At 57.5% G+C, this 19,507-nt stretch overlaps 2 protein-coding genes across 35 annotated transcripts in view, besides 3 other annotated features; one reads left to right on the forward strand and one right to left on the reverse strand.

The window, feature by feature from the left end:
* Window positions 1-130: an enhancer, noted in NCBI's record as "active region_10687". NCBI's record gives its function as "activates an Ori minimal core promoter by ATAC-STARR-seq in GM12878 lymphoblastoid cells {active_cell/tissue: GM12878}" and the evidence as "EXISTENCE:reporter gene assay evidence [ECO:0000049][PMID:35858748]".
* INO80E (INO80 complex subunit E) lies at window positions 47-9,597 on the forward strand. 23 transcript variants are annotated; one of them, NR_134855.2, is made up of 11 exons: window positions 47-197; window positions 353-423; window positions 614-666; window positions 4,564-4,642; window positions 4,735-4,846; window positions 5,220-5,336; window positions 6,242-6,819; window positions 7,242-7,332; window positions 7,456-7,476; window positions 8,374-8,463; window positions 9,027-9,597. NR_134855.2 is itself a non-coding variant. In XM_047433982.1 (10 exons), the coding sequence occupies exons 1-10, from the start codon at window positions 117-119 to the stop codon at window positions 9,229-9,231; spliced, it is 828 nt and encodes a 275-aa protein (XP_047289938.1). In that variant the 5' UTR covers window positions 47-116; the 3' UTR covers window positions 9,232-9,597. The 23 variants fall into 23 exon arrangements, 16 of the variants coding, with proteins under 16 accessions (XP_047289938.1, XP_047289940.1, XP_047289939.1 ...); XM_047433982.1 differs by lacking the exons at window positions 6,242-6,819; window positions 7,242-7,332 and adding an exon at window positions 8,556-8,688 and having other exon boundaries at window positions 8,361-8,463; window positions 9,174-9,597; XM_047433984.1 differs by lacking the exons at window positions 6,242-6,819; window positions 7,242-7,332 and having other exon boundaries at window positions 8,361-8,463; window positions 9,027-9,032; window positions 9,174-9,597.
* Window positions 7,531-8,315: an enhancer, noted in NCBI's record as "H3K4me1 hESC enhancer chr16:30015046-30015830 (GRCh37/hg19 assembly coordinates)". NCBI's record gives its function as "activates a minimal SCP1, AML or CMV promoter by ChIP-STARR-seq in primed H9 embryonic stem cells {active_cell/tissue: H9 hESC(primed)}" and the evidence as "EXISTENCE:reporter gene assay evidence [ECO:0000049][PMID:30033119]".
* Window positions 9,320-19,507, reverse strand: part of DOC2A (double C2 domain alpha) — a 17,715-nt gene continuing 7,527 nt past the window's right edge. For 2 of the 12 annotated variants that reach the window (XM_047434803.1, XM_047434802.1), the window contains exons 2-15: window positions 19,013-19,068; window positions 17,273-17,402; window positions 15,880-16,010; window positions 14,709-14,795; window positions 13,767-14,041; window positions 13,284-13,363; window positions 13,008-13,082; window positions 12,802-12,911; window positions 10,979-11,105; window positions 10,837-10,896; window positions 10,591-10,754; window positions 10,402-10,483; window positions 10,219-10,315; window positions 9,320-10,137 (exon numbers count right to left, since the gene is read on the reverse strand). In XM_047434803.1, the coding sequence (XP_047290759.1) occupies window positions 9,992-10,137; window positions 10,219-10,315; window positions 10,402-10,483; window positions 10,591-10,754; window positions 10,837-10,896; window positions 10,979-11,105; window positions 12,802-12,911; window positions 13,008-13,082; window positions 13,284-13,363; window positions 13,767-14,028 (1,203 nt within the window). In that variant the 5' untranslated portion in view covers window positions 14,029-14,041; window positions 14,709-14,795; window positions 15,880-16,010; window positions 17,273-17,402; window positions 19,013-19,068 and the 3' untranslated portion in view covers window positions 9,320-9,991. Of the gene's footprint in view, window positions 10,138-10,218; window positions 10,316-10,401; window positions 10,484-10,590; window positions 10,755-10,836; window positions 10,897-10,978; window positions 11,106-12,801; window positions 12,912-13,007; window positions 13,083-13,283; window positions 13,364-13,766; window positions 14,042-14,708; window positions 14,834-15,135; window positions 15,229-15,879; window positions 16,136-16,300; window positions 16,449-17,272; window positions 17,403-19,012; window positions 19,069-19,507 lie in introns of those variants that run through there. The other 10 variants (XM_047434805.1, XM_047434804.1, NM_001282062.1 and 7 more) reach the window with 10 other exon arrangements.
* Window positions 14,740-14,799: a silencer, noted in NCBI's record as "silent region_7347". NCBI's record gives its function as "represses an Ori minimal core promoter by ATAC-STARR-seq in GM12878 lymphoblastoid cells {active_cell/tissue: GM12878}" and the evidence as "EXISTENCE:reporter gene assay evidence [ECO:0000049][PMID:35858748]".

Here is a 19,507-nt window from a genome sequence, read left to right on the forward strand (position 1 = left end):
TGTAGTCCTGACGGCACAGCCTTGCAGCGTCTCCGGAAGTGGAGGCGGGAGCGGCACGGCAGCCACTGCTTGGGGTAGCGGGAGGGCAGACTCTGGGCGCCACTCCCGGGCCGGTCATGAACGGGCCGGCGGACGGCGAAGTGGACTACAAAAAAAAATACCGGAATCTGAAGCGGAAGCTCAAGTTCCTCATCTACGTGAGTGCTGCCGCGGGAAGGCTGTGGGGGATGAGGCCTGGCGCGGACAAGATCTCAGTTTACCCAGGTGTAAAGTGGGTGGGGCGAGCGGCCGCTGGTTCCGGGGCCCTTCACGGAGGACCGTTGGCCCAGCGCACCCCTTGCCCGTGATACAGGAGCACGAGTGCTTCCAGGAGGAGCTGAGGAAAGCGCAAAGGAAATTACTGAAGGTGTCCCGGGACAAGAGGTGAGGCACGTTGCAGGGGCGGAGGGCGATGTGCTTCCTAGGAAATCTACATTCGGACCCCATCCCCGAGTAGGGCCACAAGTGCATGGGCTCTTTCAAGTATCCGATGGGCCAGCTGGGAGGGACAGGTACCCAGGAGGACATTGCTGCGCTGGAAAATCACTGTCCGTGTCTCCTTCCCTCCCCTCAGTTTCCTCCTAGACCGACTTCTGCAGTACGAGAACGTGGATGAAGACTCTTCGGGTGAGCAAGGTCTTCAAAAATTGGTGGAGAGCATGGTTCCTGGTACTTAGCAAGCTTCCTGGGCCCCCGCCTTTTAGGCAGTGGTGGCTGATGCAGCCCCCAGTGGTCCTTAAGCCTAGTTGCTTGCCTTCCACCTCCACCGTTCTTTCATTCAGGCACTTACTGAGCACCTATTGTGTTTCAGGCACTGTGCTTGGCACAGGGGATACAGCAGAGGCAGAGATAGGCAAAGCCCTTGGCCTCTTGTAATTTATATTCTAGTTGGGAAGAATAAGTAAATGAAGACAATAGACTAGAATTTTAGGTCATAGGAAGGACTTGAAGGTAATGAAAACAGTTATGCGGTAATGATTATAGTAGAACAGGGGTTGATGAATTGTTTCTGCAAAGGGCCAGATGGTAAGTAAGCTTTTTGCAACATACAATCTTTGAAGCACCTACTGAACTCTGCCATTGTAGTAGCAGCCGTACCCCATAGGCAAATACATGAGTATGGCTATGTTTCTATAAAACTTTATAGGCACTGAAATTTGAATTTCATATTTTTCCATATGAAAAATTTTTCTTTAGTTTTTTTTTTTTCCAACCGTTTAAAAGCTTAAAAGCCATTCTTGGCCAGGTGCAGTGGCCCACGCCTGTAATCCCAACACTTTGGGAGGCCGAGGTGGGCGGATCACAAGGTCGGGAGTTCAAGACCAGCCTGACCAACATGGTGAAACCTCGTCTCTACTAAAGATACAAAAATTAGTCGGGTGTGGTGGCGTGCACCTGTAATCCCAGCTACTGGGGAGGCTGAGGCAGGAGAATCATTTGAACCCTGGAGGCAGAGGTTGCAGTGAGCCGAGATCGCTGCCACTGCATTCCAGCCTGGGTGACAGGGCGAGACTCCGTCTCAAAAAAAAAAAAAAACGCCCTTCTTAGCTTGCAGACCACACAAGCAGGCAGCAGGCAACCTCTGAATGGAGTACTCAAGAAAGGCCTTTCACAGAGTGACATTTGAGTTGGGACCAGAGAAGAAACCAGCCTTCCATCCTGGGCAACATAGTGAGACCCCATCTCAATTAAAAAAAAATTAGCCATGTATAGTGGTGTATACATGTGGTCCCAGCTACTTGGGAGGCAGAACCAGGAGGATCCCTTGCCTGAAAGGTCAAGGCTGCAGTGAGCCATGATAGCACCGCTGTGCTCCAGCCTGGGTGACAGAGCAAGACTGTCTCAAAAGAAAGAAACCCCATCCTGGCTAACACAGTGAAACCCTGTCTCTACTAAAAATACAAAAAGTTAGCCGGGGATGTTGGTGGGCACCTGTAGTCCCAGTTACTCGGGAGGCTGAGGCAGAAGAATGGCGTGAACCTGGGAGGTGGAGCTTGCAGTGAGCTGAGATTGCACTACTGCAGTCCAGCCTGGGCAACAGAGCCAGACTCCATCTCAAAAAAAAAAAAAAAACAAAAACCAATCTTGTGAAGAAGTGGGCTAGAGCTGTCCCGGCAGAATAATATAAATGCAGCTACCCTGAGGTAAGAACAGGTCAGGCTTGGTTGAAGAGCAGAGGCATGAAAGAGAGAGAACACTGTTTTCGTCCTTTTATTTGAATATTGTCTGCAGTTAACTATATTTTACATCATAACCAGGGCCCCACATGTTAAACAAAACAAAGTTTAACGAAACATTTTTAAGATCACTGTATCCAATTCATCCTGACACTTTTTAGACTGCTTTTTTCCCCTTCTTTTAATGCTGGTTGCAAACCAATAAATTGATTTCATGACCCACTAATGGCTTGAGACCCACAGTTTGAAAAAGCCCTAAGGTAGGCATTTGTGGGCCTCTTCCTGGGTGAGGCCCTCGTAAGCCATGTCACGTAGAATCACCTCTCTCCGTGGTGCCTTTAAACATTGGTCTGGGCCGGGCACGGTGGCTCACGCTTGTAATCCCAGCACTTTGGGAGGCCGAGGCAGGCAGATCACGAGGTCAGGAGATCGAGACCGTCCTGGCTAACATGGTGAAACCCCGTCTCTACTAAAAATACATAAAATTAGCTGGGTGTGGTGGCGGGCGCCTGTAGTCCCAGCTACTCAGGAGGCTGAGGCAGAAGAATGGTGTGAACCCGGGAGGCGGAGCTTGCAGTGAGCCGAGATTACGCCACTGCACTCCAGCCTGGGCAACAGAGCAAGACTCCGTCTCAAAAAAAAAAAAAAGCACATTGGTCTGAGGCAGGGATTGGCATGTGGCAGCCAGCCACGTTTTAGGACGTAGTGTTTTGTCAGAACGCATGATACCCATTTGCTTGTTATTATAGGAGGATTGTAGATAAGGTTGGGGAAATAGGCAGGGGCCCACTCAGGTAGGTCATAGTAGGAGATTTGGCTTTTATTGTAGCCTCTCATCCCCTGCCTCTTCCTTCCCTAGGGGCTTCCAGTTAACATCCTGTTTGAGGGGAATTCAGGGCAGGAGGTGGGAGAGAACCCAGCATGTTCATGGCCAGAGTGGGTTGCATCTGAGGAGGAAGAGCCAGCGATGCGAGCCCCACTCCCGTCCTGGAGGCCCACGCCCTGGCCAGGGAGACACTCGCAAACGACGCTTTTCAGCACAGTGTGAGGGCAGCCATGACGAGAGTAGAGCGTTCCAGGAGAGCCTGCAGTTAACTGGGCTTGAGGGATTCTGGAAGACTTCACAGAGGAGGTGGCATTTAATCTGCTTCTTAAAGGGTCTGTCTGAGCAGAGACATTGGTAACGGCTTCTATAGGTGTAGCAGTCGTTTGTTCGATGAAAGATGGCCCTTCTAGGCAGAGGCACTGAACTAGGAAATACATTTCTTTTTTGACGAAATAGGTCAGTGTGCTTTAAAGAATACAGTTACGTTAGTTGACCAGAAAGGTACATTGAAGCCAGATTAAGCAGCACCATGAATTCATGCAGGTAGTGGGTGATGTCATCAGGAAGGATGTGACCAGGTTTGTTTTAGGTCACTCTGGGGTTGGGGGTGGACAGTGGGTGGCACGGTGAGGTGAGACTGCTTAGCAGGTGATTTTGACGTGCTGGTGGCCTGACCTGTGTTAGTTGGTGTGGGGAGCAGTGGATGAAGGGGAGGACTTCAGGGGTAGATGAACAGGACCCTGGTTATGGGGAGTGGGGCAGAGGCAGGAGTTGAAGACTGCTCAGCTCAGAGGCAAGGAACCAGTGGCATCAAACAGCCAAGGAGTCACAGACCTGGCTTGGAGTCTTAGCCTCACACCTTACTTTCTGAGCCTCGGTGACCTCATGTGACAAGTGGAGGTGCTGCCCTTCCCATCCTTCCTTGGATCTGATGACAAGGAGAGGTGGTGAGTGGGAAAGAGCCTGGCACCCTGGCCATGCGTGGCAGGTGTGTTACGGAGGAACCAGAGCGGGCGGGGGGCTGGGGAGGCTGGAGAGGCTATGGGCCTCCCTGGGACAGCTCGAGTGTGTGGTGCATGCGTGTGCCCACCAGCTGGTGAGTCAGATTCCCCCGGGGCCCTTCTGTTAGGTTTTGGTTTGTTTCATTTTTTTGAGGCAGGGTCTTGCTCTGTCACCCAGGCTGGCGTGCAGTGTTAAAATCACAGCTCACTGCAGTCTCAATCTCCGAGTAGTTCTCCTGCCTCAGCCTCCTGAGTAGCTGGGACTACAAGCACACGCCACCATGCTCGGATAATTGTTTTTGTTTTTAATAGAGATGAGGTCTTGCTAGGTTGTCCAGGCTGCTCTTGAACTCCTGGCCTCAAGCGATCTGGCCACCTCAGCCTCTCACAGTGCTGGGATTCCAGGCGTGAGCCCCCGCACCTGGTCTTCCAGTGCCCTTCTGTAGTGTAGAGGAGGTTATACCTTTCTGGGATGGACTGGGATCCCCCCATCCCCACTGACCAGCTGTCCCCATCACAGACTCAGATGCCACTGCATCATCAGATAACAGCGAGACGGAGGGGACACCCAAGTTGTCTGACACACCGGCCCCTAAGAGGTGAGAAGAAGATGCATTCCTCTCGCTGGGGAGGGTCAGGTGGGGCGCCTGGGCTCCTAGCCACATCTGACCTCGCCCTGTCCTTTCTCCAGGAAGAGAAGCCCTCCGCTGGGGGGCGCCCCCTCTCCCTCCAGCCTCTCCCTGCCTCCTTCAACAGGGTTTCCCCTTCAGGCCTCCGGGGTCCCCTCCCCATACCTGAGCTCGGTGAGTTGGGGTCAGGGATGGGAAGTGCTTGGGAGTAAGGTGGGCGTCATTTGGGCAGAAGGGCTGGGCCTCGGGGCAAGGCCAGCCCAACTTTGGGGACATCTGTCTGGGTGTGGCCCAAGTGTCCCGTGGAGGGTGTGAGTCGGGGCTGCCCCCTTCTCTCTGGTATAGGAACGGGGCCAGGCCTGACTGAGGAGAGCAAAGCCCAGGACAGCATCCTGCTGCTGCCCGGCCCTTCTGTGCTCGGGAGCCCCGGGAGCCGCACTCATCACCATCTCTTTTGTTTTTCCATCCTCCTTCTGTTTGCATTTCTTCCCCCACCCTCACCCCGGTCCATTCCGCCTCCCATCTCCATCCCCGCTCCCGCCCGCAGCTGGCCTCCTCCCGCTACCCCCCATTCCCTTCTGACTACCTGGCCCTGCAGCTGCCCGAGCCCAGTCCCCTGAGGCCCAAGCGGGAGAAACGGCCCCGCCTGCCCCGGAAACTCAAGGTACCCTGACGTGGGGGTGCTAGGGAGGGGCAGGACGGCAGGAGGACAGTCACCTGAGGGAGGCTGAAGGCGGGGGCCTGTCAGAGAACCATGAACAGTTAATTTGGGGACCCAGTCAGCACTTAGCACTGAGGGGTGGATCACAGAAGTCTCGGCTTACAGGCTTGTATGGAGACAAATCAGGGCAGAACCAGCCTTGGAGGACCCGGTGTGCAGATGCCAGGGATCCCGCCCTTTCATGGCTGCAGTGTAGCGGGGCCAGGCTCATTTTCCCAGGGGGGCGTGTTGTGTGATGCCAGGTAGCCCCAGACCGGGTCAGGATTATGGGATCTAGAGTCAAGTCAAGACTGCCTGTTAGAAACCACGTGGCCTTGAGCAGGTCTCTGCTACCCTCTAGGCCTCCTAGGCTTGGCACCTATAGGGCGAGTGGTCCTACTCGATGTGACCAGCAAGCGCCCCTGGAGCGCCTCCTGTTACACGGCAGTGCACAAAGCAGACCAGTGCCTGCCCTCACAGAGCTCACAGTCTAGCAAGATAGGCAGAAAACACACCAGAAAAGTAGGTACTTGTGGAGAAGAACAGAGCGAGGTCCAGAGCATGGGGACGCCAGGGGGACGAGGCTGACACTTAGGGCCCAGCAGTCTGGGATGTTCTTGATCAGAGACTTACAGGAAATGGCAGCAAGCTGTGTGGCTCCTGGGCAGTGTTTCTGTCGGGCAGAGTCTGTGTTTGGGAGAAAAGTAAGCAGGGAATTGGGTCCCGGAGCAGGTCAGAGGGGGAGCTCATGAGGTGCCAGTGTGCAGGATTCGCTGTGAATGAAGCCTTGGAGACAGCAGTTCCCTGGCGGGGCGCAGGTTGCAGGTGTGGAGGGGGAGTGATCTAATTGCATCTTAACAAAATTGCAGACACTGGTGGTCAGAGAACAGACTGAGCGGTGGAGTGAGTTGGGACGGGAGTGAGGAGGCCACCACGGTAAACCAGGCCAAGGGCAGAGGGTCCAGAGGGAGCTGCGGACCCATTTCAGAGAATGAGCATGGGAGTTCCTGGAGGACCTGGTGTGGGCTGTGCGGGAGAGAGGCCAGGATGCCTCCAGGGCTTTAGTCTGAGCACGAGTGGAGTCTCCCTCCCTGGAGATGGGAGGGCTGTGGGACCACAGGCTTGGAGGAAAACTGAGTCTGGCCGCGGATGTGTCAGATGCCATCTGGAAAGGCAGCTAGATAGCGGCCCGTGAGGGGCTGCGCATTTGGAAGCCGCCAGGCTGGCGGTAGATGCAAGCCTTGGGAGAGATGGGGATGGGCTGAGGGGCAGAGCGGAGTGGGGACCAACTGGGCGGCTCCCAGGGTTCTGGAGCCAGAAGCAGAATGAGAGGCCGCATTTGCGGTGGTCTGGAGTACAGGATCTGGAGCTCTAATCCCAACTCTGCCGTTTTCTCCGTGTGACCTTGGCCCTGTGAGGCTTCACCTCTTGAGCCTGAGAAGCAGAGGTGACAGTACTGGCCCTGGTTCTTAGCAGGGGGGTGGCGGGCAGGGTAGGGGGTGGCGCAGCACTGGGGGGCACTTTGAGGCTTTCTGGCTGGGTGCTGAGTCCTGAAGCAGAGTCATGTCCGGGAGCAAAGTTGTAGACATTCTGGAGAGAAGGTTTGAGAGGGTGGCCCAGGTCCATGGCTGTCGGGGGAGGTGGGGAGAAGCCAGGAAAGGCCTCAGCAAGGAGAACGTGTAAGCCCAGGGTGAGTGGATTTGGATATTCCTGGCTGAAGCCATAGTGGGAAGGGAGACAGGGCCACAGGGAAAGCACTGCCTGGGCCAGAGCAGGAGTGGTAAGAAATTGGCAAGAAGAACCGGGTGGGGTGGGGTCATGGAAGGCCTGGACAGTGGCCTGAAGTGGGAATTTGTCTGTTACTGTCAGGGGAGCGGGAGTCCCTGAAGGGCCAGGGGAGTGAGGAGATGGAAGGAAGGGAGTCCAAGCAGAGGAAGGATAGCTGTGAAGACAGAAGCAGGTTGGTTCTGTCAGGCCTGAGTTGGACTTGGCCAGCTTTGAATCCCAGCTCTTCCAGTGCTCACCATGCGACCTCAGCGTTGTCATTTCACTCTTTAAGCCACAGCTCTCTTTCTCCATTCAGTGGCGGCATTGTGCGGAGAATGTGAGTGAAGGGATGAAAATCGCTCGGCCCGTGCCTGGCCCCTAGTAAGCCACAGAGAAATGTGAGCCGCTGCCAGTCAGGCTGAGAGGACGCCACTGAGGAAGTCCAGGCCAGGGTGGGACATGCTGCGCACAGTGGGGAAGGAGAGGAGGTGGCCAGAGGAGGGGATGGTCCTTTCCAGTCATACACGCATGTCTGCTTGTGTGTGTACATGTGGGGGCCTGGTGCAGGGCGTGGGGGTGCTGTTCAGAGTTGGACCCCCCATCATCCATCCTGCCAGCCTCCTATACCCTGAGGCCTGACCCACCCTGGCCCCCACACCACCCCAGCAGCGGAGATGAGGGTAAGTGAGGGCTCCTTAGGAAGCAGAGAGGAGGCCACAGGGCCAAATGTGACACTCAGAAGGGCCACTGGAGACCACGCATGGCGTTTCCTGCCAGCCCACTCAGCATCTAGCCCAGGGCCAGACTGGACACTGCCCCGCAGGACCCAGCAGGCCTAAGCCTCAGGACCTCCATGTCCACACCAGGTTCAGCCTCCTCTGCTGGCACGTGACTTCTCCCCGTTTCCCGCCCCCCAGTGTCCTGAGGCTGGGAGGGCATTAACAGAAACCACCTGACACACAGCAGGTGCCCAGTTTGTGCCCACAGACAAAGCACGGGGACTGCAGAGGAGACCCACAGAGCTCTCTAGGGAGGGTTTGTGAGGACCTGGCAGCGGGGGGGAGCTGAAGGGTTGAGCAGGGCAGAGGCCACTTCCCACCCTCAGAGGACAAAGCAGGACTTCTGACAAATAGAGCAGGATGCCCAGGGGGAGGGGCTGCCTGTCGTCCCGCAGGCGGCACTCCCGCCCCGAGGCCCCGAGTGGCACGGTGACGCGCTCAGGTCTGTGTTTTAGAGCGCGCGCTCTGGCTGCCGTGCGGAGGAGCTGGATCTGGGAGAGGCTGCGGGCAGGGAGTCCAGTTAGGAGGCTGGGACCGCAGCCCAGGTGAGCTAAGAGGAGGGCTGGGCCTAGGCCACAGCTGCCGGGACCCCGAGGAGGGGCCCATCCAAGACATAATACAAGCTTCTTGGGGGCAGATAAGCCGCTGGGGCTCCTGGCTCAGGCAGCCTGCAATACCCTCCACCGAACCAGTGAGTGCCGCAGAAGAGGGAGAGGAGGAGTAGGGAGAGGAAGCTGGTGGCAGGTGGCACCTCCGGGGCCGGCAGGCAGGCAAGCACTCCAGGCCGACTCCGCCTCTGGCTTAACCCCTGTCTCAGGGCAGCCCAGGCGCCTCCCTGGAGAGGGCAGGTGCCCGGGCCTTTCCCTCCCGGTTTCCTGTGAGACACCCCCATCCCCTCATCTCACCTCTATCACCACCCCCAGGCACTTGCTGGTTTGAGGCTCTCGAGGGGCTGAGGGGGGCAGGCCCTGAGTGCAGCATGGGTTGGCCCAGCTGTGCCCAGGGCCTCTTCCCCCTCCCCAGAGCTGCCCTGGGGGGCAAAGCCTAGTCTCCTGAGGCCCCAGTGCCTCCCTGACTAGTCCCCCTGTGTTTCTTCCCCCTGCTGCAGATGGCGGTGGGACCCCCCGACTGCCCTGTGGGAGGGCCGCTGACCTTCCCTGGCCGGGGTTCTGGGGCTGGGGTCGGGACAACCCTGACCCCCCTCCCACCCCCTAAGATGCCCCCCCCCACGATCCTGAGCACGGTCCCTCGGCAGATGTTCAGCGATGCAGGTAGCGGGGACGATGCCTTGGATGGAGACGATGACCTGGTGATCGACATCCCGGAGTGACCGTGACATCACGCCATGCCCACCACGGCCCCGCCCGGCGCCCTCCCCGTGCCAGCACACACGAGTCCAGCTTCCTCGGAGGTGTTTATTGATGCCCAGCTGCCATGCTCCGGCCACTGACACAACCAGAAAAGGCGTAAACATGCACGGGTGTCCCCCAGGAGGGTGGCAGGGGCCCTGCCTTCAAACCCCGGCCCCCTCCAGGGGACAGTTATTTAAACGAGTGGCCGGGAGCATCTGCCACCTGCTGGGGAGGCAGAGACCCTGCAATGGCCACCTCTTTAAAAGGGCAGCTGTACAGGGCTAGGTTTTTTCAATGAAGTTTCTGTATTAAAGGAGTGGCTCTGGGTTTGTTTTTTGTCCTTTTTTTTTGAGACATTCTCCTCCTCTGAACCTCCCCTAATCCGACCTCCTCCCTGTTGGGGGAGAGGGACGGGGCAGCGTGGAGAGGCAGGAGTGAGGAGCGCGGGGGCCTGGGGCCGGGCTCTGAGCACTGCCCGGGTGTGCAGATGATGGGGGGTTTGCATATTTGCAGGGACTAGCGAGTCAGGCAGGAGGTTTGCATATGTGAATATAGAACTCCGCAGCCCCTCATGAGCAGACAGACCCGGGTCACGGAGACTCACAAAAATAGGTAGTGCAGGGTGGGGGCAGCCCACCCTGTGTAAACGTGCAACACACTCGTGCGAAGGTTGGGTACTGGACCCGGCTCGATGGGCCTGTGCCGGGACACTGCTGTCCACTCAGGCTGAGGACAGAGCCCCGGCCGCAGGGGGCAGCTCACTGGTCAGGGTGTGCCAGCGCTCCAGGGCTGCGTCCGGCTGCTGCAGGCAGTCACTCCAGTGCTTCCGAGCCTCGCCTCGGGCACCTGGCCCCAGGGACACGCCACCTGGGGAGCAGGTGGGCAGGGTCAGGGCCACCTCCCTGCCACTTGCCCGCCCTCAACACCCGCAGCCAGCTCCTCCCTCACCAATGAAGTCATTGGATTTGCCAATGTCATAGTCCCAGACGGTGACTTCCAGGGTCTTGGTGGCCAGAGTGGAGAGCTCTATCTCGTAGAAAAACTCCTAGGGACAAGGCCGGCCACCCGTTCGTGAGCCAGCTCCCCAGCCCCTCCCTGGCCTCCCTCCATGTCCCGTCCCCTCCTGGGTACCTCGTTAAATTCTGGGTTGAGAGTCTTCTTCTTCACACACGTCTTATGCTTGGATTTCTTGTCCACATCGGGCCTCAGGTACCTGGGGGTGGGGTGGAGGGAGACGAACTGAGGGGTGAGGGACAGGCCAGGCCCAACTCAGGCCAGGGCAGGCTCCCTGGGGAGGAGAGGGTCAGAGCAAGGGCTCACGTCTTGACGTAGGGGTCCGAGTAACCGTTGACGTCCATGGCAGCCAGATGGGCGCAGCGCAAGATGCCTACCAGCAGTCCCCGGCGCCGCGAGCTGTAGCTGAGACTCAGCAGGATGCGGCCACGCTCCTCCAGCAGCCCCTGCCCCTGCTCCGCCTGCTCCAACTGCGGGGCACAGACTCAGGGTCAGCCTGGGCCCCTGCAGCCTCCCACCCACATGCATCCCCATCCCCATGAGGTGCCTCACCTCCTTCAGATAACAGGAGATGCCCCTCAGCGCCGCTGACATGGAAGAGGGGGACGCCAGCTGAGGGGGCAAAGAGAAGGTTCTGGAAGCCTGGCCTCCCCAGGGCCCCCTCCCCTGGCGCCCCTGCAGCCCCCACACAGACCGGGACCTGGCGCTCGAGGCAGATGTTAAAATGCTTCTTCTGCGAAGGCTTGAGGCGGCGGAGGGGCACGCGGATCTCCCCAATAAACTCATTGTGACTCAGCTTGTCCTCATCACAGACGGCGATCCTGGTCGGGAACTGCAGTGTCAGGGCCCCTGGGGTACCTGAGCCCCGTTCCGGGGTGTAGGAAGGGCCTTGGACCAGCCCAGCTCTGCCCTAAACACTACGTCTCATCTGGAAGACAGGCTGGCACTTGAGAAGGACAAGCAGATTTGCCCATTCCTCTGTCCCTCCCTCTGCAGCCACCCGGCTGTCCCTGGTCCATCAGGACATGCTCAGCCATTGTGGGAAGCCCTCAGAAATCTTGGAGCACGCTGCTCACTGCCTCCATTCAGGGCCTGGGGGCAGGAGCCGAACACCACGGTGGATGTGGCCATAGACACAGGCCGTGAGAGCTAGAAGGGCCTTGGAGCCTTGGGCAGCCAGACCAGTACCCCACGCCTCCTCGGGAACCCCCGTCCTTTTCCTGCATGCAGCAGAGAGCCAGCCCCGCAGGGACTCACTAAGAAATGATTGCTTTCCAGCCACCTGTCCTCCTGCAGTCCCTGCCCTGCCTCCGCAGTGACCCACTACCAGGCTGGGCATCTGTGGCATGGAGGATGGGCAGATCCCAGCCCTGCCACTTCTGAGCCACCTGTGTGACCTTGGGCAAGTCACTTGATCACCCTATGCCTCAATTCCCATCTGTAAATGGAGATAGTCAAGGGAAAGAAAGAAATGTGAAAATGCTAAGCCTGGGCTGGGCCCTGGTGAGCGCTCATTTTTTGGTCTCATTCTGGTTTTGGCCTCTGGCCTCCCCTCCATTCCACCCGAATAGCTGAAACCAAGGTGGCCTCTCTGCTGCACAGCCCTGACCATCAGGGAAGGTCCCAGCTGCAAATCCAAGCACAAAGGCAGAGGTCTCTCCAGAGCCTGGGTTTCGCTGCCCGCCACCTGACTTGAGGGAGTACTCTCCCTACATCTCCATCTCCTAGGATGACGGAGCAAGTTCCCTGTCCCTGAAGACTTCACTCCTTAAGAGATTTTAGGGGAACTCAAGGCACGGAAGGGGCAGACCAAAGCTGCAGAGGTCTGGCTTAAGCCAAGGGCTCTGAGAAGGGGTCTCGGCAACCCAGGAACGTTTTTGGGAGGGGGCAGAGCTTGGACTGAACCTCAGATGAGCGGAATTTAGGCTGGCAGGAAGGAGCTTTCCAGATAGAAAACAACAGGAAAAGTTCAGGAGTTGTGGAACTGGCCAGTTGGAAGAAGGGAGTCCTCTGTTTGAGGGGCAGAAGATACTTTTGTTTTGTTTTTGAGATGGAGTCTCCATCACCCAGGCTGGAGTGCAGTGGTGCGATCTCGGCTCACTGCAACCTCTGCCTCCCGGGTTCAAGTGATCCTCCTGCCTCAGCCTCTCGAGTAGCTGGGATTTACAGGTACATGCCACCACGCCCGGCTAATTTTTGTATTTTTAGTAGAGACGGGGGTTTCACCAAGTTGGCCAGGCTGGTCTTGAACTCCTGACCTCAAGTGATCCGCCCACCTCGGCCTCCCAAAGTGCTGGGATTACAGGTGTGAGCCACCACACCTGGCAGGCAGGAGATATTGAGGGGCAGGAATGGCAGGGAAGAATTTTGGCCTGCTGCCAAAGGGGCTAGGGAGCCGCTGATGGTTCTTGAGCATCAGAGAGGTACGGGCTTAATGGGACATAGATCAACCAACCAGCGGTTACAATGTCAGCTGTCCCCGAGCTGCTGCTGGGTGGTGGGGAGGGGGGCCCTCACCTGAGCACCTTGTGCGTGATGTCGTCATCTGTGATCCCGCTGTAAGTCAGGTCCTCATTCCACACGGGATTCAGTGTGTTCCTCTGAGTCTTCGTTTTTAGCTTATTGGCCTGGGATGTGGGGATGAAAGGTTCTCAATACCTGTCCTCCAGCCCCACAGGCTGGAGTCATGGGCTGGGCCGGGCGGGGCGAGAGGAGGCTGTTACCTTACAGGCTCCAGGCAGCAAGTGCAGCTTGACGTAGGGGTCGGCGAGGCCATTGAAATCCATGGGCTTGAGGCCCTGGAGAGGAGGGCAGGGGAGAGGGCTAGAGGCTCCCGGCACCTCTCTCCATCCCTCTTGTAGAGCTGGACCCTGGAGGAGCCCAGAAGGAGGGGGCAAGGGCAGGACGAAGGAGCAGGCCTGGGAAGGGAAGGAGGAATGGGCCCCCTCTGGGGGCTGCACGCAAACCGGGCCCGGGCTTGGGTGGCAGGGAGTGCCCACCTTGGCCCTGAGGATGCTACAGTGCAGAGTGCAGGAGGCCCGGTCGTAGAGAAGGTCAAACTCCAGCGTGCCTAGGGCGGCTGGAGAGAGAGGAAAGGCAGCATGGGTCGGTATGGAGACAGGTGTGTGCGAGAGGCCAGCAGGTGGGCACTGGCTCTGTGTGTCTCTCTCTCTTGCCAGCCCGCGAGTGTGAGTGCAAGAGGCTGAGTGGGCCCATGCGTGTGTGCGTCTGGGTCCCTGGCTCGGCCGCAACTGGGGCTGTGTGGGTGGTGGAGTGTCTCAGCAGAAATACTGAATATTGAGCCTTGCTGAAGCTGTAATCTCCACGCTGACTGCAGCTGTGGTGGCCGTCCCTGCCACCCCCCCACTGCCCTCCTCCCCTACCTACATGCACAGCCAGCAGGGCCCATCCCCCTCTCCCCCCACCACGGCAAGCCTGGAGACCCCCACCAGCACATGGGGCCTCCAAGCCCCCAGACTCACTGGCATCATCCGAGTCATAGCTGTCCACCTCCGCACCATCCTCAGGCGTGGTGGCCCCAAGGAGGGCTGCAGGGGGGGCCAGAGCCAGGGGGACCAGATGGGCGGGGGCCTCCCCGCCGCCCCCGCCGCCCCCTTCAGGTCCTGGTCCCCGGGGGAAGTAGTCAGAGATCTGGCGGATGGGCCGGATGGGCCCGGGGCACACGTTGATGGCCATGTGCTCCTGGATGTTGATGGTCATGCGATCGCCCCTGCGGCCCCTCATGCAGCACCCCTGGCTAGGAGAGGGCGTGTGAGCCAGTGAGCCCATCATACCTAGCCATCCTGGCTGAGGGCCAGGCGACGGCCTCCTCGGTCTGTGGGGCCCTCACTGGCCTCCCTTCCTAGGTGTCGAGGGAGAGGGTGGTGTGTGCCAGCCGGTGGCAGGTGGGAGGCCTGGGCCCTGCAGACCCCAAGCTGACTCCACAGGGGCTGGGCTGCCAACCCACTCCTTGCAGAAGTCGAGGTTGCACCACCCCGTCCTCACCCACCCACTTCTAGGTTGTCCCTGTATCATCTTGCCAGCTCCTTCCTCTCCTCCGGGGCTCCCCTCTGCTCCTGAGCCTGCCTGTCCCCCAAGGGGCCCTGCAGGGCCCCGCCTCTGTTTCTCGGAGGCTCTGTCCTCCTCTGCACCAGGCGCTGGTCTAGTCAGGGTGTCACCCACCCCTCTAGGCTCCAACTGCCCACTGTCCCCTCATTCAGCCCCAGGACCTGTCTGCCTGCCTGGTTCCCCCGCTCGCTCACCACAGCCCACGGTGGAGACCCCAGCCTCAGATGCCACCTCTGGCTCCTCAGGGGAGCCAGAAATTGCAGCCGCAGGAGAGCCGAACACCCCCGTAGCGCACACAGGCTGGCACGCTTCCCCGCACCCTCACGCCCCCGGCCTGCCCAGCCCCCTGCACCTGCCTCTGCCTCCAACAGGTGCCCAGGCACTGGGGGGACGGCGGGCGCAGGCTGGGCGGCGGCGGCCGGCGAGGAGAGCGCGGAGTCGAGCTGTGCGAGCCGAGAGGGAGGGAGCGCCGAGAAAGTGCGGGGAGGAGGGGGTGAGCGAGGTGGAGGCGAGGATGCAGCCGGCGCGGCGGCGGGGGACGGGGAGGGGCGCTGGGGCTGGGGAGGGGGCGGGATCTCGGACTCCCACCCGGGGCCCGCTCGGGAGCGCACGCGAGCGCGCACACACACGTGTGCTCGCGCGCGCACACTCACGCAGGGGCACGCGGACCGGCACACACTCGTGTGCACACATCCAACCGGGCACCCCCGCGCGCACACGCCCGTGCCCACGTGTGCACGCTCACACCCTTGCACACACCCAGGCGCGCGCTGGCACACTTACCCGGAGAACTTCGCACACACACGCACTCGCAAACACGCGGGCTCCCTGCGCCACCAGGAAGCAGCCGCCAGAATCGCCGGGTGTTCCCCAACTACTCCTGGGAGACCTGGCCCCCCGCCCCCGCCCGCGCGCGCGGCCACGGCGCCTCCCTCCCTCCCGGGTCCCCAAGGCCGGACCACCGGCCTCGTTGTCATGGCGACGCCGGCTCATCTCCCCCCACCCCCGCGCGTCTTCACGCCCCTCCCCCGCAGGGAGCTGGGGCCTCCCTCCTCCCTTCCCCACGTCCGTAGGGACCCACAGGTTGACAGGAGCAGGGGGTCGCCTGCTGTCACCGGCCGGGGATCTCGGGGTCTCCCGAGCCAGGCTGGGGAGCCTCACGATCTGAGGGAGGAGGCAGAGGTCTGATGCTGCGGCTTCCCCCACGCCCCCTCCCTTTGGCCGTTCAGGCCTCTCTCCTTGTGGCCCAACCCAACTCCCAGGGGCCCATGTCCCCTTACCAGGGATGGTATCTCCTTTGGGAACCACCCTCCCCCCTGCCATCCCCAGTTCTGCCCCGCAGGTGGGAAGGGGCGTCGGGGCTTGGCTCTGAAGGTCTCAGAGCCCTGCGGTAGTTCCCCATGGGCTGCCATTTCTCACCCAAACCTTGCCACCCCCAAGCCGCCCCCCTGCCCGGCCCTGCGCCTGCCACGGAGTGTCAGTCCACCCCTGGCCTTCGGTCTTCACTCACCTGTGCCCCAAACTTACCATCCCGAAGACACGAAGGGGCTTATCACCCTCGCTGCCCACCACTGACTCACCCAACCGTTTCCTGCAGTTCCTGGGACACACCTAGACGGCTCAGGCCTAGGGATCTTGGCTCACATGCGCTCCTCTACCTGGGAACCGCGCTTCCTTAGGAAGTCACCGTGGGTCCCCTCTTCCTAGGAGCCTTCCTGGGGCATCCCGCACTGCCCCTCAGCTCCAGCGCCGTCAGGACTCGGCTCAGCACCGCTTCGCCAGTGCCTCCCCCACCAGCAGGGAGTTCCACTGGAGCGGCTGATTCATCTGGGAGTCCCTAATGTCCCAAACTGGGCCTGGCACGAAGTCGGCATCTCTAAGTGCTGTTATTTAAAACAGCAATCTGGTTGCACGACAACTGAACATACCTAACACCACCTAATCTTACCCTTAAAAATGGTGAAGATGGTACATTTCGATATGCGTATTTCACGGCAATTTTTTTTTTTTTAAATAAGAGAAATGGGGCCGAGAGTGGTGGCGGGTGCCTGTAATCCTAGCTACTCCAGGGACTGCGGCGAGAGGATCGCTTGAGTGAAGCCAGCCTGGGCAACACAGTGAGACACAGTCTCTTAAAAAAAAAAAAAAAAAAAAGTAAGAGAAATGTAAAGTCAACAACACTGAGGGGGCGGGGCGCAGTGGCTCACGCCTGTAATCCCAGCGCTTTGGGAGGCCGAGGTGGGTGGATCACCTGAGGTCAGGAGTTTGAGACTAGCCTGGCCAACATGGTGAAACCCCATCTCTGCTAAAAATGCCGGGCGTGGTGGTATGTGTCTTGGGAGGCTGAGGCAGGAGGATCGCTTGAACCCGGGAGGCGGAGGTTGCAGTGAGCTGAGATCGTGCCACTGCACTCCAGCCTGGGCTGTAAGAGCAAAACTCAGTCTCAAAACAAACAAACAAACAAACAAACAAAAAACCCTGAGATATCACTTATTACCCATAAAATGGGCAAAGCCAAAGTGTCTGGGCTGGGGGGAAGCTGAGACGGACTGATCCCTTGAGCTCAGAAGTTCAAGACCAGCCTGGGCAACATGGTGAGGCCCTGTCTCTACAAAAAAAAAAAAAAAAAAAAAAAAAAAATCCAGGCATAGTGGTGTGTGCCTGTGGTCCCAGCTACTCAAGAGGCTGAGGTGGGAGGATCTCTCTTCTTTTTTTTTCTTTTCTTTTTTTTTTTTTTGAGATGGAGTCTCGCTCTGTCGCCCAGGCTGGAGTGCAGTGGCGTGATCTCGGCTCACTGCAAGCTCCACCTCCCAGGTTCATGCCATTCTCCTGCCTCAGCCTCCCGGGTAGCTGGGACTACAGGTGCCCGCCTCCACGCCTGACTAATTTTTTTGTATTTTTAATAGAGATGGGGTTTCACCTTCTTAGCCAAGATGGTCTCGATCTCCTGACCTCGTGATGGTGGGAGGATCTCTTGAGCCCAGAAGGTCAAGGCTGCAGTAAGCTATAATCACTCCACTGCACTCCAGCCTGGGTAACAGAGTGAGACCCTGTCTCAAAAAAAAAAAAAAAAAAAAAAAATCCTTAGACCCAGAAATTCCACTTTTAGGATTTTATCTTACAGATATGCCAACCCATAAGCCAAATAATAGAAGTTCAAATTCTTTTTTTCTTTTTTTTTTTTTGAGACAGACTTTCACTCTTGTTGCCCAGGCTGGAGTGCAATGGTGCGATCTTGGCTCACCGCAACCTCTGCCTCCTGGGTTCAAGCAATTCTCCTGCCTCAGCCTCCCAAGTAGCTGGGATTACAGGGGCGCACGCCCCACACTTGGCTAAGTTTTTGTATTTTTAGTAGAGACGGTGTTTCACCATCTTAGCCCCGCTGGTCTTGAACTCCTGACCTCATGATCCGCCTGCTTCGGTCTCCCAAAGTGCTGGGATTACAGCTGTGAGCCACCGCGCCTGGCCATGAAGTTCAAAATTCTTAAATGTAGCACGTTCCAAAAGACTGGAAACAACTGAGATACCCAGAAGCAGGGGACCAGTTAAATCAGTCATGATGTAATTCCATGCAGTGAAATAGGGTGCAGCCACAAGAGGCTGTTTTGCTCTTGTTTAGAATCATCTTTTTTTTTTTTTTTAAATATACAAGGTCTCACTACTTTGCCCAAGCTGGTCTCAAATTCCTGGACTCAAGCAATCCTCCCGCTTCGGCCTCCCAAAGTCCTGGGATTACAGGCGTGCGCCACTGTGCCTGGCCCTAGAATCATTTCACAGTTTCATTTTAACTTAGAAAAGCCAAGTGCAGGCCAGGCGCCATGGCTCACGCCTGTAATCCCAGCATTTTGGGAGGCCAAGGCGGGTGGATCACGAGGTCAGGAGATCGAGACCATCTTGTCTAACACGGTGAAACCCCATCTCTACTAAAAATACAAAAAATTAGCTGGGCGTGGAGGCGGGCAACTGTAGTCCCAGCTGCTTGGGAGGCTGAGGCAGGAGAATGGCATGAACCCAGGAGGTAGAGCTTGCAGTGAGCCGAGATTGCGCCACTGCACTCCAGCCTGGGCGACAGAACGAGACTCCATCTCAAAGAAAAAAAAAGCAAAGTGCAGGCTGGGCATGGTGGCTTACACCTGTAATCCCCGCAATTTGGGAGGCCGAGGCGGGAGGATCACGAGGTCAGGAGTTCAAGATCAGCCTAGCCAACATGCTGAAACGCTGTCTCTATTAAAATTACAAAAATTAGCTGGGCATGTTGGCGGGCACCTGTAATCTTGGGAGGCTGAGGCAGGAGAATTGCTTGAACCTGGGAGGCGGAGGTTGCAGTGAGCCGAGATCATGCCACTGCACTCCAGCCTGGGCAACAGAACAAGACTCCATCTCAGAAGAAAAAGAAAAAAGAAAAAAAAATCAAAAAAGAAAAGCAAGTGCAGAGAAGCATGCTTGGAATACTGCCATTTGAGAGGGAAAGAGCTTAGCCGTGTTTGCTTAGTTGTTCATATGTTGTTTCTGGAGGCCTGCACAAGAATGGTAACTGTGTCTCTTGACAAGCTGAGAGAGTGAAAAAATAAAAATAATAATAAAAAAATAATAAATACACAGAAGAAAATATAACTATGGTGACCTCTGGGGAGACAGGGCAGGAAGAGGAAAGACTTACTTTTCAACGTACATCCTTTTGTATTTTTTGAATTTTGTGCCACATGCATAGGTTACCTGTTCCAAAGAATACATTAAAATAATAAATTTTGGTATTTCTTTGTTTGTTTGTTTGTTTGTTTGTTTTTGAGATGGAGTCTCGCTCTGTCACCCAGGCTAGAGTGCAATTGCTCGATCGCGGCTCACCGCAACCTCCGCCTCTCGGGTTCAAGTGATTCTCCCGCGTCACACTCCTGAGTAGCTGGGATTACAGGCACCCGCCATCATGCTCGGCTAATTTTTTTGTATTTTTGTAGAGATGGGTTTTCACCATGTTGGCCAGGCTGATCTTGAACTCCTGACCTCAGGTGATCCGCCTGCCTCGGCCTCCCAAAGTGCTGAGATTACAGGCATGAGCCACTGTGCCTGGCCAAATTTTGGTCTTGTCTTTTTCTTTCTTTTCTTCTTTCCTTCCTTCCTTCCTTCCTTTCTTCCTTCCTTCTTTCCTTCCTTTTTC

This window comes from Homo sapiens, chromosome 16 (assembly GCF_000001405.40).
Source record: "Homo sapiens chromosome 16, GRCh38.p14 Primary Assembly".
NCBI lineage: Eukaryota > Metazoa > Chordata > Mammalia > Primates > Hominidae > Homo > Homo sapiens.